The following is a 15,929-nucleotide window of genomic DNA, read 5'->3' as shown; positions in this document are numbered from 1 at the left end:
GAGTCAGGAAAATCACTTGAACCCGGGAGATGAAGGTTAACAATGAGCCAAGATTGTGCTACTGCAATCCAGCCTGGGCAACAGAGTGGGACTCCATCTCAAAAAAACAAACAAAGAAACCGAAAACGTGTACACCACTGTTCACAGCAGCATTATTTACAATAGCCAGAAGGTAGAAACAACCCAAATGTCCATCAGTGGATGAATGGATAAGCAAAATGAGACATACCCATACAATGGAATATTGTTCAGCTGTAAAAGGAAAGAAGTACTGATACAAATACATGATTCAATATGGATGAACCTTGAAACATTTTGCTAAGTGGAAAAAGCCAACACAAAAGGCCACATGCGTGTAGTTTTATTTATTGTATTAGTCTATCCTCACACTACTAATACAGACATACCTGACATTGGGTAATTTATAGAAGAAAGAGGTTTAATGGACTCACAGTTCCACATGGCTGGGGAGGCCTCACAATCATGGCGGAAGGCAAATGAGGAGCAAAATCATGTCTTACATGGCAGCAGCAAGAGAGTGTGTGTGGGGAAACTGCCCTTTATAAAACCATCAGATCTCATGAGACTTATTCACTATCATGAGAACAGCATGGGAAAGACCTACCCCCATGATTCAATTACTTCCCACCAGGTCCCTTCCGTGACATATGGGAATTATGGGAGCTACAATTCAAGATGAGATTTGGGTGGAGACACAGCCAAACCGTATCATATTCATGTGCTGTCCTGAGTGGGCAGATCCATAGAGACAGAAGCAGAGTCATAGTTGCCAGGAGCTGAGGGCGGTAGGGGTGGGGAGTGACTGCTAATGGGTATAGCATTTGCTTTTGGGTGATAAAAATGTTCTGGAACTAGATTGTGGTGATGGTTGCACAACACTGTGAATATACACTAAATACCACTGAAATGTACACCTCATAAATGGTTAAAATGCTGAGTTCTATGTTATATTAATTTTACCACAATTCTTTTTTTTTTTTTTTTTTTTTTTTTTTTTGAGACAGAGTCTCACTCTGTCGCCCAGGCTGGAGTGCAGTAGCTCGATCTTGGCTCACTGCAACCTCTGCCTCCCAGGTTCATGTGATTTTCCTGCCTCAGCCTCCCAAGTAGCTGGGACTACAGGCATGCGCCACCACGCCCAGCTAATTTTTGTATTTTTGGTAGAGACAGGGTTTCACCATGTTGGCCAGGATGGTCTCGATCTCTTGGCCTCGTGATCCGCCCACCTTGGCCTCCCAAAGTGCTGGGATTACAGGCGTGAGCCACCGTGCCCAGCCAATTTTACCACAATTCTTTAACAAATCCTTAACGTGTCCTCTAAGCCCACCTCCCACCAGGCCATCCTCCACCTGCCACCCAGCCCAATCAAGATCAATACCTCCTGCAACATGTCTCTACACACGTTGGCCCCTTTGCCTCCAGTGGGTCTTCAACTCCTTACCTGGCCAGCTTCCTCCAGGAGCCCTTGAAGAAGCCCGAGGTGGGCGCGGCTGTCTCTATTCAAGTTCCAATAGCTGCTGCCTTCCTCCTGCAGAACAGGTTCCCTGGGGGGTTAGTGCCTTTCTCTGTGTCTGCGCATCTCAGACTCTGAGCAGCCAGAGGACAGGGATTCAAGCACTATTCTTTTATTTTATTTTTAATTGATAGGTAATTGTTGTCTATATTTTTAGCATACCTGTAGACACTGTGTAATGATCAAATCAGATTAACTGAGATACCCATCACAGCAAACGTTTATCTTTTCTTTGTACTGGGAACATTACAATTCTTCTCTTCTACCTATTTTGAAGCATACAATAAATTACTGTTAACTATAATTTCCCTACTATACTGTCAAATACTAGAATGTGATCCTTCCATCTTACTGTATTCTTACTGTACCCCTTAACCCACCTCTTGATCACTCTTCTCCTCTCTTCCCTCCCCAGCCTCTGGTAGCCACCATTCTACTCTACCAGCATGAGATCAACTTTTGTAGCTCCCACCTATGAGTGAGAATGTGCAACCATTGTCTTTCTGTGCCTGGCCTATTTCACTTAACATAATGGCCTCCAGTTCCATCCGTGTTGCTGCAGATGACACGATCTCATTCTTTTTATGGCTGAATAGTATTCCATTGTGTAAATGTACCACATTTTCTTTATCCATTTTTCTCTTGATGAACACAGGTTGACTCCCTGTCTTGGCTCTTGTGAACAGCCTCAAGCACTATTCTTTGTTGCACCCTGGATGTCGTCTCTGAGAGATTAGGAGCTCAGAAATTATTTGTGAATCGATGAATCCCTAAACTGCTTCATGATTGCTACCCCAAGAGCATGAGGCATGCTCTTGGAGTTTCTCTCTTTTTTTTTTCTCGTCCAGGCTGGAGTGCAGTGGCGCAATCTCGGCTCACTACAACCTTTGCCTCCTGGGTTCAAGCAATTCTCCTGCCTCAGCCTCCCGAGTAGCTGGGATTACAGGCGCACGCCACCATGCCGGGCTAATTTTTGTATTTTTAGTAGAGACGGAGTTTCACCATGTTGGCCAGGCTAGTCTTAAACTCCTGACCTTGTGATCTGCCCGCCTCGGCCTCCCAAAGTGCTAGGATTACAGATGTGAGCCACCGTGCCTGGCCATGTTCTTGGAGTTTCAAAGCAAGGAGAACATCCCTCCAGCCTCCACATTTCCATCTCTTACACATTTCTTTAGTACCCTCCTTCTCGCTGTTCACAGGGAAGGTATTTTCCCACAGTGGGGGAAAAAAAACACGTTGTAAATGGTGATTCAGTTCCTGAACTCCCCCACAAGCTTTACATAACCCACAAGGCACTTAAATACTTATAAACTATGCACACTTGAGTTAAATGGGCTTTTGTGAGCGGAACGGGCATCCAAACTGCCATTTATGGCAGCCCTTTATGGGAAGCTTTGCTGTGAGCTCAGGAAAGTTATAAATTTTTTGTATGCCCAAAATGCCATTGAAACATGGACCCTCTGCTTCTGTTTGTGGGATATTAGTTGATGAATGCATTTGACTGTCTTCCGAGATCCTCAAGGGAAAGGGCGCTCCTGCCAGGTTAAGCTTGGTATTCAAACTAAGAGGAGAACACGGGAGCACTGGATGGGCTTGTAGGTGGTGACGTTGTTTCCAAGACGACCTTGAGTATCAGGGGAAAGGCCGTCGGTAGCCTTCTCTCCCTCCCGCATTGTGTAAATGTACCACATTTTCTTTATCCTGCCCTCTACTTGCAATTCCTGGCCCTCTACTCTGCTGTGTTCTAGTAATTCTCTAGGGAGGAGGACCAAAATTGAGGGAGTCTTTCTAGCTTCATTTTCCCAATACCCCAAGTGTTCCTGGATACTATGCCTGCCGGGGAGGGGCCCACGGTCTGTGCTTTAACAAACCCTCCAGGTGATTCGGATGCACACTCGGGTTTGAGAACCACTGCTCTTGGTGAACCTCACTCACAAACCCTCATTTGCCCTGATGTTAAAAACATGCCATTTAAAGATGGCCGCGTCACTTCCGGCTTTAAATTTGCTCAGTTCAGGTTACAGATGCATTCAATTTGAGATTCTCCCACCCTCTTCTCTTTTTTCCTAAAGGAGATCTGGGTTCTCAGAATGTCCCATCTCCTGACCCGAAAGGAGTGGCATCTGACCAGATGTTGGCCTTTCTCCTTGCAGCATCTGCTGTGATGTAGCAGGGCCCAGCTGGTGTTGGCCATGGCCTCCTGTGTGCCTCTTTTGCTGGTCCCTGTGTTCCCACTGTCATCTTTGGCCCTGGATTTTATGTACTTAGCCTCTTCCAACCCCAGCCCTGCAACTCCCACCCCACTAGGGTCAGGAATGCTGGCTGCCTTCCATCCACAGTGCTAGGATGTGATGGGTTCTGAGAGAGGCTTCCCTTAGGTCCAGCCACCTGACACCACCCTCAGCCACTGCGGCTGCTGCTTGTGCAGTGGCTACCCAAGGCACCCAGGTTTGGTGATTTTACAAGGACTCACAAGACTCAGCACATAGTCACAGCTGAGATGTATTCTAGTGAGAAGCTACAAAGCAAAAGCAGCAAAGAAAAAAGGTACCCAGGGAAAAGTCCGGAAACCACCAGCACAAGTTTCTAAGAATCTTCTTCCAGGGGAGTTACACCAGATGGGCTTCACTCCTCCAACAGTGAGGTGGGACGGCACACGCACAATACTGTCGACCAGAGAAGCTCATTCGAGAACCAGTGCCCGAGATTTTATTGAGGGTACTGGTCACATAGGCACCCTCTGCCTAACGTATACCAAAAGTCTAGACTTCCATAAGTGAAGCGAGCATTTGACGTAAGCAATATTAGTTGCACAAACTGTTTAGGTACAGCAAGGCTCTCTTCTTATTTAGGGAATTTTTATATCTGTGTAGGGAACTGTTTACCATTCAAGTTCCCAGGAACTGCCTAAGGGCCAACTTTGTAAGCAGACATTTCTAAGGACAGCAGTCTCACACCTGCTATGTTTACTCTTTCTGCATGCTGCTGCTGATTGTGATGACGATAAGAAGTCTAGCAGTAGCATTTATTGAGCATCTAGTGTGTACCAGCTCTTTCGATGTGCTAATTTCATCTACTTCCCAGGTACCATATTGAAATGTTGTGATCATCGAGGTTACAGATCCCATTTGCTCTTGGAACCACCCTCTCTCCATCTGCCTTCAAAAAAATTATCTAAGATTTCTGTTGAAGGCACCCTTCTGGGATTTTTACTTCAGAAGGTATCAGGGGCTGGGGTCCCTCCCTGGACATCCCGCAGTGTCTAGGTTTCCATCACATCCATGCCAGCCCTCTATTTCTATTTTGCTTTCGACATGTTTACTTTTATAATTATTTCCTGTTTCAGGCAAATAAGGCAGGTGTTTCTTTATAGCCATATTACCATTTTATTTGAAAAAAAGAGAGTTGCTTTAATACAGCAAGTGTGTGTGTGTGTGTGTGTGTGTGTGTGTGTGAAACATTGTGAGTTGAAGGAGAGTGACAAGGGCTTGTAACCCACCTTTAGGACTTTGGCTGGGCAGGATCCTCAAGTAAATTGGGATATCTGGGCCGGGCACAGTGGCTCACACCTGTCATCCCAGCACTTTGGGAGGCCAAGGCAGGTGGATTACCTGAGCTTAGGAGTTTGAGACCAGCCTGACCAACATGGTGAAACCCCATCTCTACTAAAAATACAAAATTAGCCAGGCATGGTGGTACGTGCTTGTAATCCTAGCTAGGAGGCTGACGCAGGAGAATCACTTGAACCCAGGAGGCGGAGGTTGCGGTGAGCCGAGATTGCGCCATTGCACTCCAGCCTGGGCAACAAGAGTGAAACACCATCTTACACACACAATTGGGACATCTGGCGCCGGGCATCACACACTGGCAGCACTCACAGAGCAACGACTAGAGACCCAAGTTCTCAGCCAGTTTGCTGGGACTCCCAGGGCTGTGCTCAGCCTGTTGGCAGCTAAGGTCTTCCAAGAGTGTCTTGTCATAGAGAAGCCACGAAGGCAAAGGAAGGGGAGGTTGGGAGATTATGTTGACTGTTGCTACATGTCTTAGTCCATTTGGGCTACCAAAACAAAATGCCGTAAACTGTGTAGATTACACACAACAGAAATTTATTTCTGACAGTTCTGGAGACTGGGAAGTCCAAGAACAAGGTCCCAGCAGATTCAGTGCCCGTGAGGACCCACTTGCTGGTTCGTAGATGGTGTTTCCCTGCTGTGTAGCCTCACATAGTGGAAGAACTAGCTAGCTCACTGGGGTTTCTTTTATACAGGCACTGATCTCATCCATGAAGGTGGATCCCTCATGACCTAGTGACCTCCCAAAGGCCCCAGCTCCTAATACCATCACAATCGTGATTAGGTTTCACAATATGAAATTTGGGGGCACACACACATTAGACCATAGCGCTATGGAAGGGAACATAGTAGCCTGTTGACAACTAGCTCTTTGTGTATGGAAGCGGGGGGCAGTTGTTCTCTCAGATAGATGGATAAACTTTCTCTCTCTCTTTCTGTCTCTGTGTCTCACACACACACACACACATACGCACACACACTTTTTTTTCCAATGAACGACTTGACACTTCAGGATCCTTCTCATCTATGTATATTTCAGTGGCATCTTTTAAGAATAAGGACATTTTGATAGAAAAATTGGGGGAAAGATGTGACCAGATAATTCACCAAAACACGTTTTAAAAATCATCCTCAAGCAGATGAGAAAAACGCTGAAACTCACCTCCTCATTATAAACATGCTAGTTGTAACAACACTAGGACACCATTTCTGACCTATCAGTGGGGAAAATGTAAAACTGTGAAATTATACTCTGTGATGAGGATATGGAGAAATGGCTCTCTCATACCTTGCTGGTGGGCATGCAAATTGGTACAACCCTTCTGGAGAGAAATTTGGCAATATCTAATAAAAGTACATACGCATTTCCTTTTTGATCCAGGAAACCCACTCCTAAGAATCTACCCTAAAGATACACCTCCAAGAATATGAAACTACGTAGACACACAAGGTAATCCATTACAACATTGTAATTGCAAAATATTGGAGGCAACCTAAATGCCCATATGTGGGAGAGTGGATGAGTAAGCTATAGTGTAGCCACACCATGGATTAGTATATAGCCATCAAAAAGAGTGGGAAGATCTCTGTGAACTCATTTAGAGGAGTTTTCAGGATATACTGTTAAATGAAAAAAGCTAAATACAAATGAGTATCTGTAGTATACTGTCACTGATGTAAAAAGGAAGGAGATATAAGAAAATACACATATATCCACTTACTTGTGCAGAAGATACTTGGAAGGATAAAACAGGACCAAAGAAGACAGATTACCTAGAGAGGGTATGTGGCAAGGGAGGGAAGGAGGGAGTAGGGGTGGGGAACAAGGGTGAGGAGGAAGTGACAGTTGTCTATACAAGTCTACCTTTATTTATTTATTTTTTTTAAAGACAGAGTCTCACTTCATTGCCCAGGCTGGATTGCAGTGGCACGATCTCAGCTCACTGCAGCCTCCTTCTCCCAGGTTCAAGCAATTCTCCTGCCTCAGCCTCCCAAGTAGCTGGGATTACAGGCCCATGCTACCACGCCTGGCTAATTTTTGTATTTTTAGTAGAGACAGTATTTTACTATGTTGGCCAGGCTCATCTTGAACTCCTTCCTGACCTCAAGTGATCCGCCCACCTCAGCCTCCCAAAGTGCTGGATTACAGGTGTGAGCCACTGTGCCCGGCCAAGTTTCCCTTCTTGAATAACTCCGACTGTTTCTTACAGAAGTGTTTCACATTGCCCCAAATCAATAAATAATTAAACCAAAATATGGGGGAGCCCAAATGGAATACAAGCAGTAACAAATGAAACTAAGTTGTATTACAAATGAATTACATAACCACACCAATCTCTTTGGAAAACAGTCTTTTGAACAGATACTACAAGGCTAAAGGCAAAAAGAAAAAAAAAACTGTGCAAACATTGTTCTCTGGATGGTAAATCTTTTTCTCACAGGAATTCTATTACCACCTGATGTGCAAACTATGATTAAATAAATAAGATACATTGTAGATACAAGAATCTCATCCTCAGTGTTGGCAAAAGAAGATACAAATAGAGAAAGAGGCCGGGCACGGTGGCTCACACTTGTAATCCCAGCACTTTGGGAGGCCGAGGTGGGCAGATCACTAGGTCAGGAGTTGGAGACCAGCCTGGCCAACATGGTGAAACCCCGTCTCTACTAAAAATACAAAAACTAGCCAGGTGTGGTGGCACACACCTGTAATCCCAGCTACTCAGGAGGCTGAGGCAGAACTGCTGGAACCCAGGAGCTGGAGGTTGCAGTGAGCTGAGATCATGCCATTGCTCTCCAGCCTGGGTGACAGAGTAAGACAAGACTCTGTCTCAAAAACCACAACAACAACAACAAAAAGAGAGAAAGAAGGAATCCTAGAACAGGGGCCCATAAACTGTTTCTTTTAAGGGCCGGGTATCTTCAGCTTTGTGGGCCATAAAGTCTTTTTCTCAACTATTCAACTGTGCCTTTGAACAAAAACGGCCACAGATAATATGTAAACAAATAGGTATGAGTGTGTTAAATAAAACTTTATTGAAGCAGGGTTAGGCGTGGTGGCTCACACCTGTAATCCCAGCCCTTGGGGAGGCTGAGGTGAGAGAATCATTTGAGCCCCAGAGTTCAGTTTATGGAGATCAGCCTGAGCGGCATAGTGAGACCTTGTCTCTACCAAAAAATAAAAAAAATTAGCTGAGCATGGTGGCATATTTCAGTGGTCCCAGCTACTCTGGAGGCTGAGTAAGAAGATCACTGGAGCCCAGGAGTTTGAGGCAGCAGTGAGCCATGATAGTGTCATTGTACTCCAGCGTGGATGACAAAGCAAGACCCTATCCCAAAAAACAAATTAAAAAACAGACAAAAACAAAACAAACAGGAGGTAGGCCATATTTGGCCCAACGGCCACAGTTCACTGTCTTTTTAGGTTAAGATGAATCTTATGGTGCTGGTCGAGAATGAGAGTTATCCATGAAATCATGATTTTGTTTTTTATGTTTTTATTTTTGAGACAGAGTTTCACTCTGTCACCCAGGCTGGAGGGCAGTGGCATGATCTCAGCTCACTGTAACATCCACCTCCTGGGTTCAAGCTACTTTCATGCCTCAACCTCCCAAATAGCTGGGACTAGAGGTGCACGCCACCAAGCCTGGCCAATTTTTGTATTTTTAGTAGAGTCAAGGTTTCACTGTGTTGGCCAGGTTGGTCTCGAACTCCTGGCCTGAAGTGATCCACCCACCTCAGCCTCCCAGAGTGCTGAGATTATAGGCATGAGCCATGCGCCCAGCCTGAAAACATGATTTTGTTTTGTTTTGAGTTTATATACATATTTATAGTGAAATGATTACCACAGTCAAATTTGTTAGCATATCCATCAACTCACATAGTTACCATCTGTGTGTGTGTGTGTTTGTGTGTGTATGTGTATGATGAGAACATTTAAGATCTATTCTCTTAACAGATTTCAAGTTTACAATACAGTATTGTCTACTATAGTCACGATTCTGTGTATTAGATTCCCAGAGCTGATTCATCTTATTACTGAAAAATTTTACCCTTTCACCAATACCTCCCTATTTCCCTCACTTCCCAGCCCTTGGCAACTACCATTCCACTCTCTATTTCTATTAATGCAGCTTTTTAAGATTCTGCATATAGGTGATATTGTTCAGTATTTGTCTTATGATTTACTTATGAAGTAAATAGCTATAGAAACAAATATAGCTATTTTTTTTTTTAGACAGTTTTGCTCTTGCTGCCCAGGCTGGAGTGCAGTGGCACGATCTCTGCTTACTGCAACCGCCACCTCCTGGGTTCAAACGATTCTCCTGCCTCAGCCTCCTGAGTAGCTGAGATTACAGGCATCCACCACCATGCCTAGCTAATTTTTGTATTTTTAGTAGAGATTGAGTTTCACTGTTTTGGCCAGGCTGGTCTCGAACTCCTGACCTCAGATGATCCACCTGCCTTGGCCTCCCAAAGTGCTGGGATTACAAGCGTGAGCTGCCGCAGCCAGCCTAAATATAGCTATTTTTGTATGTGTGGTTTAGTATTGTCAACCTAATAATATAATGAATTTATTGGGGAATAAGCAAAAAAGATTATAATCTGGGATGCACAGCTATGGCAAGCCACAGATGCACCTGCAGAGGAGAGGGTAAGGGGAAGCTTTTATTGGCAGAAAGGAGAAGTTCACATAAGCTACTTGGAAACAGAGTTCATTGGTTCTGGGAGCTCAAAGCCAGAGTTTGTGTCAGTTCATTGGTGGAGATGCTGTTACTGGGCAACTGTTCTTTTGAGAGCATCTTATCTGAATTACTGCAGTCCTAAAGAGGGGATCTCTTGTAGGGTTATTTTAGAAAGCCCTTGAGACAGTCCTTATCTCAGACACACATCCAGGAGCTCTCTCTTTTTGTGCTTTCCTGGCTTCAGTTTGTTTGGGTCTGACAAACAAGGTGATTTCATCCTGGTATCTGCAACTGTCACAGTATGTGTACGTATATTTCATGGAACAGTGATACCCCAGTAACAGTGAGCGCCTCTGGAGCCCGGACCTTTGTTCCTAAACACCATTCCTCAGCAAAAGGGACCAGAACCTCTTGGGGAAGTAGTTGATTCAAGGACTAGGGAGTGAAAATACAAGATGAGCCAGAAATACTTGGGATGCCAGAAGGTAAGTACATCTTTCCAAAAGGCCATGTCAAAAGAACATATCAAAACGCATCTTTTGACCTATCAAAAGAACAAGGGAGCCATCCTGAAGGAGCTCCCAATGGCCAAAGCTGGAACAATTGGAGCAACAAAATAAATAATGATAGTAGTGGATTATGATCCATCGAATAAAGACTCTGTACAGTCATATTGCTACAAATAAATAATTGAATAGTTTTCTTAAATGGAAGAGATGAAACAGATCTTGCTTATAGATAAATTTCAATTAATAAATGTAGAAGGAAGGGAGGAAATGGAAAGCCCTCACTAGAATACCACAGTAATAATTGCTGTAGGCAAGATCCACCAATGAGAACTAAGATTACTATGAGAAAATTTAAGGAGAAACAGGATATTTGCATTTTTTTTTTTTTTGAGACAGGGTCTGGCTTCACTGCCCAGGCTGGAGTGCAGTGGCACAATCACAACTCACTGTAGCCCTGACCTCCCAGCCTCAAGTGATCATCCTGTCTCCGCCTCATGAGTAACTGGGACCACAGATGTGTGCCACCATGCCTGGCATATATATATATGTGTGTGTGTGTGTGTGTGTGTGTGTGTGTGTGTGTGTGTGTGTGTGTGTGTATATAAAATGTGTGTGTGTGTATACGTATCTCTACAAAACAAACTATATATGTACAAGTATATATATGTGTGTATATACATCTATACGTATATATATGTGTATATACATCTATACGTATATATATGTGTATATACATCTATACGTATATATATGTGTATATACATCTATACGTATATATGTGTATATACATCTATACGTATATATATGTGTATATACATCTATACGTATATATGTGTATATACATCTATACGTATATATATGTGTATATACATCTATACGTGTATATGTATATATACGTGTGTGTGTATGTATACATATAGTTTGTTTTGTAGAGATGGGGGTCTCCCTATGTTGCCCAGGAGGGTCTCCAACTCCTGGGCTCAAGCAGTCTGCCCCCCTCAGTCTCTCAAAGTATTAGGATTACAGGCTTAAGCCACCGCACCTGGCTGATATTGGCATATTGGTATCTCCCTTCAAATTTTTACTAACTATAAAAGGGAAATGATGGCTTCATAGTGGAGAAACCCAGCACAAACTACTTTATGCAAGTGATCAAGGTTGGCATCACCAGGAATAAGACACATCGAGTTTTCCTGTGCCCTCTGACTGATGTGGACATATCACTTCTGGATATTCTTGCCAAAAAAGGATAACCTCAATGTAATCATGAGAAAATATCAGAGAAACCCAAATTTGAGAGACATTCTACAAAATAGCTGGCCAGCACTCTTCAAAGTCATGAAAATCAAGGAAAGACTGAAACATTATTGCAAAGTAGGGGAGGCAAAGGAGACATCACAACTAAATGCAACATGGGATCCCACACTGGATCCTGAAATAGCAAAAGGATGTCAGGGGAGAATTGATGAGACTTGAATAAAGTCTGTGGTTTAGTTCATAGTGTCGTGCCAATGTGATTTCCCAGTTTTGATCATCGTCTTACAGTTACGTACATTTTCGAGAAGTCTTGAGGTAGAGCAACCTATATAACTTTGAGAAAAACAAAAACAAAACATTCTCCTGCATAACTACAATATGGTTATCCCATCCAGAAAATTTAACATTGATATAATAAAATTATCGAATATACTGACCCTGTTCAGGTTTTCTTAACATTCCCAATGTCCTTTATGGATTTGTTAGTTTGGTTAGTTGTTGCTATTGTTTTATGTGTTTCCCTTGTATCGTTTTATTTGTTTGCTTTGGTTGTCCCATCTCCTTAATCTCCATTAATGGAAGACAGGTACCCTGCCTTTTCTGTCTCACATGACACTGACATTTTTGAAGGGCCCTGAGAACTGGCTGTCTTCCATAGGATGCAGTTTTCAACAGGGGTAGAAGACCATTGCTATAAACTCCTATTTCCACAGATTAGTTATTAAGTCTCAGCTCTGAGTTGATGGGCTCTGAACACTGTGTGTCTGTGAGTGGCTCTCCAGGTGGGGACCAAGCAGTTGTTGCATGATTACACTTTCTTGGCCATGTGGTGGACACTGGTCCCAACTTTTCTCCTTCCTTCATGCCCATTCATAGCTGTGGTTGTGCTCTCTCTCCTCACTTTGAACTTCTCATTCCTTTTTTCTACCCCTCTGCACATTGCTGAGTTATCCCTCAGAGGTCTGTGCTGTTTGCAAAGTCAAAACCAGCTTCATAGTCCCTCTTGCACAAACCAGCACACAGAGTTTGCAAACTTCAGTGGGGACTGACCAGCAAGAGCTACAGAGATAAAAGTATTACATTGGCTTCCTCCCACCCAGAAGACCGGAGTTTGGCACCTTGGGAATATTTCCTGGGGCATCCGTCAGAGCCAGTTAAACTCAGCATCTAATCAGAGCTAGGGAATTTTTTTTTTTTTTTGCTTTATAGTTACTGACTTGGTCAAGAGAGAAAAGCCCACCAGGTATGTGCTAGAAGCCAGTGAGTCACTGAAAATACTGGAAACTTCTTTTTTTTTTTTAAAAGATTCTTAAACAGCATTAATATTTATAGCAAACAGCATTAATATTTATAGAAATCTTTCACATTGTCTGTGTCAGATTCCACCCCACAGAGGAAAATTGGCAATACATGATTTCATGGTACAAAGTATTGCTAATAATCACAGGCTACCCTAAACCAAGATTACAGCAAGATCCACCCTCACTCTGCACTGTTTCTGCAGGAATATGGGAGGCAGCATGGCCACACAGGGGAAGCCCTTGAGCTCTGGAGTCAGCAGACCTGAACTGAAATTTCAGCTGGGCTGCTTACAGGCTGGTGAACTTGGGAGAGAGTACTTAACTTCTGTAAGCCTCAGTTTCTTCATCTATAAAATGGGTTGGTAATATTTTCTGCATAGAGCAAGTGCCAGAGAAAAATGAGAAGATGCATGAACAGTGCTTAGCATTGGGCCTGGTGTAGGGCAGGGGCTTAGTAAGCAGTGCTGGTGTTCCTGCCATGGTTGCTATTGGCCTGGTGCCTCTGCAGTCTGCACCAGGCATTCCTGGAAGAAGTGGCTCTGGTGAGGGTGGTTGCTTTGCCCACCATCTTCATAGCATTGGTAGCATATGCAAAGCAGCAGGTGCTGAGCCTCCCAGCTGATGATATCCCCAGCCACCCTACTGGCACTGGCGTCCTGGCCATGCACCCTGCACTTGCCCTCAGCCATCCATACTGGGAAGCCAAGAAAACACAATTGTTTCCCAATGGCAAAGCACTGAGTCCCTGGCTAGCTAGAAAGCAAGTCCAAAAATACACAGTGCAAGGAAGGAAAAGATTTCTCTTTTGTTCCTTTTCTTGCCAGCTTCTCGCCTGGTTTTCTAAAGCGCCCCCTGCACCTAGAGTCAGCAGGCCATGTGCTTTCCATATGGTTAGGCTTCAGGGTAACAGCAGGAGTCTCACCTCATAGAGTGTCCTGAGTCATACGGAGATGCCGCTGTTTGAGGGTGAGGGTCCAGGGCTAGACTTCAGGGCTATTAACTTCCTGCATCTTGCTCCTGCCTCTTCACCTACACCCTTCAGGGAGGTCTAGAGAATGACCCTAACCCCAAGGTCTCCATTCACCTTTATTCTCCCCTTGCAGGCATCCCCTGCTATTCACAAGACATTGACTCAAAGGCTCTCTATTGCCGCTTAAACTTTCCTGTGCTCCAAAGTGTCCTCCCCAGCAAGCCCTGGACATTATCAGCTCTGAAGGTGCAAATGGGAAGCACCCCACATTTCAGGACATGCCTCTCGCTCTCCCTGCACTGCATAAATTCAATGCCCCTGAAACCTCAAATCATTTGCAAAGGAATAGGAATAATCATTCCTGTTTGTTTTGGAATCCCAAGCTGGTTGTCAAACAACAAGACTACATACTGCCAGGCAGCTTTCTCTTCTCAGCCACGGAGGGAAGGGAGCATGTTCTAACTGCATGCAAATAGCCAAGGATTTCTCACGAGCCCTGAAAACTCCCCCTTTAGTTTGCATTAGGCGTGCAGTTCAATCACTCTCCCTGAAGGAAGAGGAGGAGCAGGTGGTGTTGGTGTTCAGCTTTGAACTTGGGCCACATGCCCCAAGGATAAGTGAAGGTATAGATCCGTCTAAACAAGGGGGCAGTGGGGGAGAAAGCCCCCTTCTGTATGTTTTGCATTGGCCAGGAGCCAGGCAGAGAGCAAAGTGACAGAGACTGCAGTCGAAGCCTATTGAGAGCGTATGTTATTCAGCGGCAAAGCATTCAGCTCCTAAGATTGTGCCCAGAAGATTGTTTTGCGGGTAGAAAAGAAAGGAGCCCTTTCAACCTTTCTCATTTGGCCTCCACTGCCGTTTTGCTGAGCAGCCGTTTTGGAGTTTCCTCTTGGAGTGGTCGGTTTATGCTGTCCAGATGTGCACAATGCGATGGTTTTGCTTTTTGGCTTTCCAGATGTGCACGGAAAATGGACAGGAAAATGAGCTTTGGCAAAGGCAGAGGCCTGTCTCTGCAACCCCTGGAATCTAGAGAACCCACAATACCCTCGTTGTTTAGGGATCACAAAACGTAGGATCTGGAAAAGAACTTACGGGTCGCCCAATTTAACCTCCTTATTTTACAGCTGAAGACACCGAGGCCCAGAGAATTGTGACATGCTCCCTGCTGATTGATTACACGCAGCTGGGAGCAGACATCAGACCTGCTAGAACTCTTAGACGTGCATCTGCACACATGTCTGTTTCATTGCTGTATGCACCTGGCATTTGACTATGTGCTTGGGATAAATCAGTGAACAGAGAATCCTAGCTTGTTTGAGTGTGAGGTCAGGTGTGGGAGAAAGAACAGATAATAAACATAAACAATTAATACCTTATATATAGTAGGTTAGGAGATAATAAATGCTATCAAAAGGAAGAGAGAGAAAAGAAAGAGAAAGAAAGAAAAAGAAAGAGAAAGACTAGGTTTTAGAAAAAAGGTAGATTTCATTGAGAAGGTGACTGTATTAGTTACTTATTGCTGCGTAACGGAATACCTCAAAACTTGGTTGGGTGTGGTGGCTCACACCTTTAATCCCAACACTTTGGGAGCTGAGGTAGGAGAATCACTTGGGCCCAGGAATTCAAGACAAGCCGGGGAAATATAGTGAGACCCCCATCTCTATAAAAGTAATTTTTAAAAAATTAGCTGGGCCTGGTAGCACATGCCTTGGTCTTCAGAGGCTGAGATGGGAGGATAGCTTTAACCTGAGAGGTCAAGGCTGCAGTGAGCCATGATCATGCCACTGCACTCCAGCCTGGGCAACAGCAAGACCCTGTCTCAAAAAAAAAAAAAAAAAAAAACACCTCAAAACTTGGTGGCTTAAACCAACAAAGATTATCTCAATTTTTTTATGGGTTAAGAATCTGAGAGTGGTTTTGCTGAGTGGTCCTGGCTCAGGGTCTCTCATGAGGTGGCAATCAAGAGAGGTCAGCTGGGGCTGCAGTCACCTGAAGTCTTGACTGGGGCTGAAGGATCCATTTCCAAGATGGCGCACTCCCATGGCTGTTGGCAGGAAGTCTCAGTTCCTCATCATGTAGGCACCTCCACATGGCTGCTTGA

The 15,929-nt window shown here is 44.3% G+C and overlaps 1 protein-coding gene across 15 annotated transcripts in view, besides 2 other annotated features; it reads left to right on the top strand.

Moving 5' to 3' along the window:
* Positions 1-15,929, top strand: part of SLC39A11 (solute carrier family 39 member 11) — a 446,740-nt gene that overhangs the window by 411,629 nt on the left and 19,182 nt on the right. The window lies entirely within an intron of this gene.
* Positions 12,976-13,618: an enhancer, noted in NCBI's record as "H3K4me1 hESC enhancer chr17:70663581-70664223 (GRCh37/hg19 assembly coordinates)". NCBI's record gives its function as "activates a minimal SCP1, AML or CMV promoter by ChIP-STARR-seq in primed H9 embryonic stem cells {active_cell/tissue: H9 hESC(primed)}" and the evidence as "EXISTENCE:reporter gene assay evidence [ECO:0000049][PMID:30033119]".
* Positions 13,619-14,262: an enhancer, noted in NCBI's record as "NANOG-H3K4me1 hESC enhancer chr17:70662937-70663580 (GRCh37/hg19 assembly coordinates)". NCBI's record gives its function as "activates a minimal SCP1, AML or CMV promoter by ChIP-STARR-seq in primed H9 embryonic stem cells {active_cell/tissue: H9 hESC(primed)}" and the evidence as "EXISTENCE:reporter gene assay evidence [ECO:0000049][PMID:30033119]".

The sequence above is a fragment of the Homo sapiens genome, chromosome 17 (genome assembly GCF_000001405.40).
Source record: "Homo sapiens chromosome 17, GRCh38.p14 Primary Assembly".
NCBI classification, from domain to species: domain Eukaryota; kingdom Metazoa; phylum Chordata; class Mammalia; order Primates; family Hominidae; genus Homo; species Homo sapiens.
Note: the sequence above shows the minus strand (reverse complement) of the source record. Positions and strands in the feature narration are given on the sequence as shown.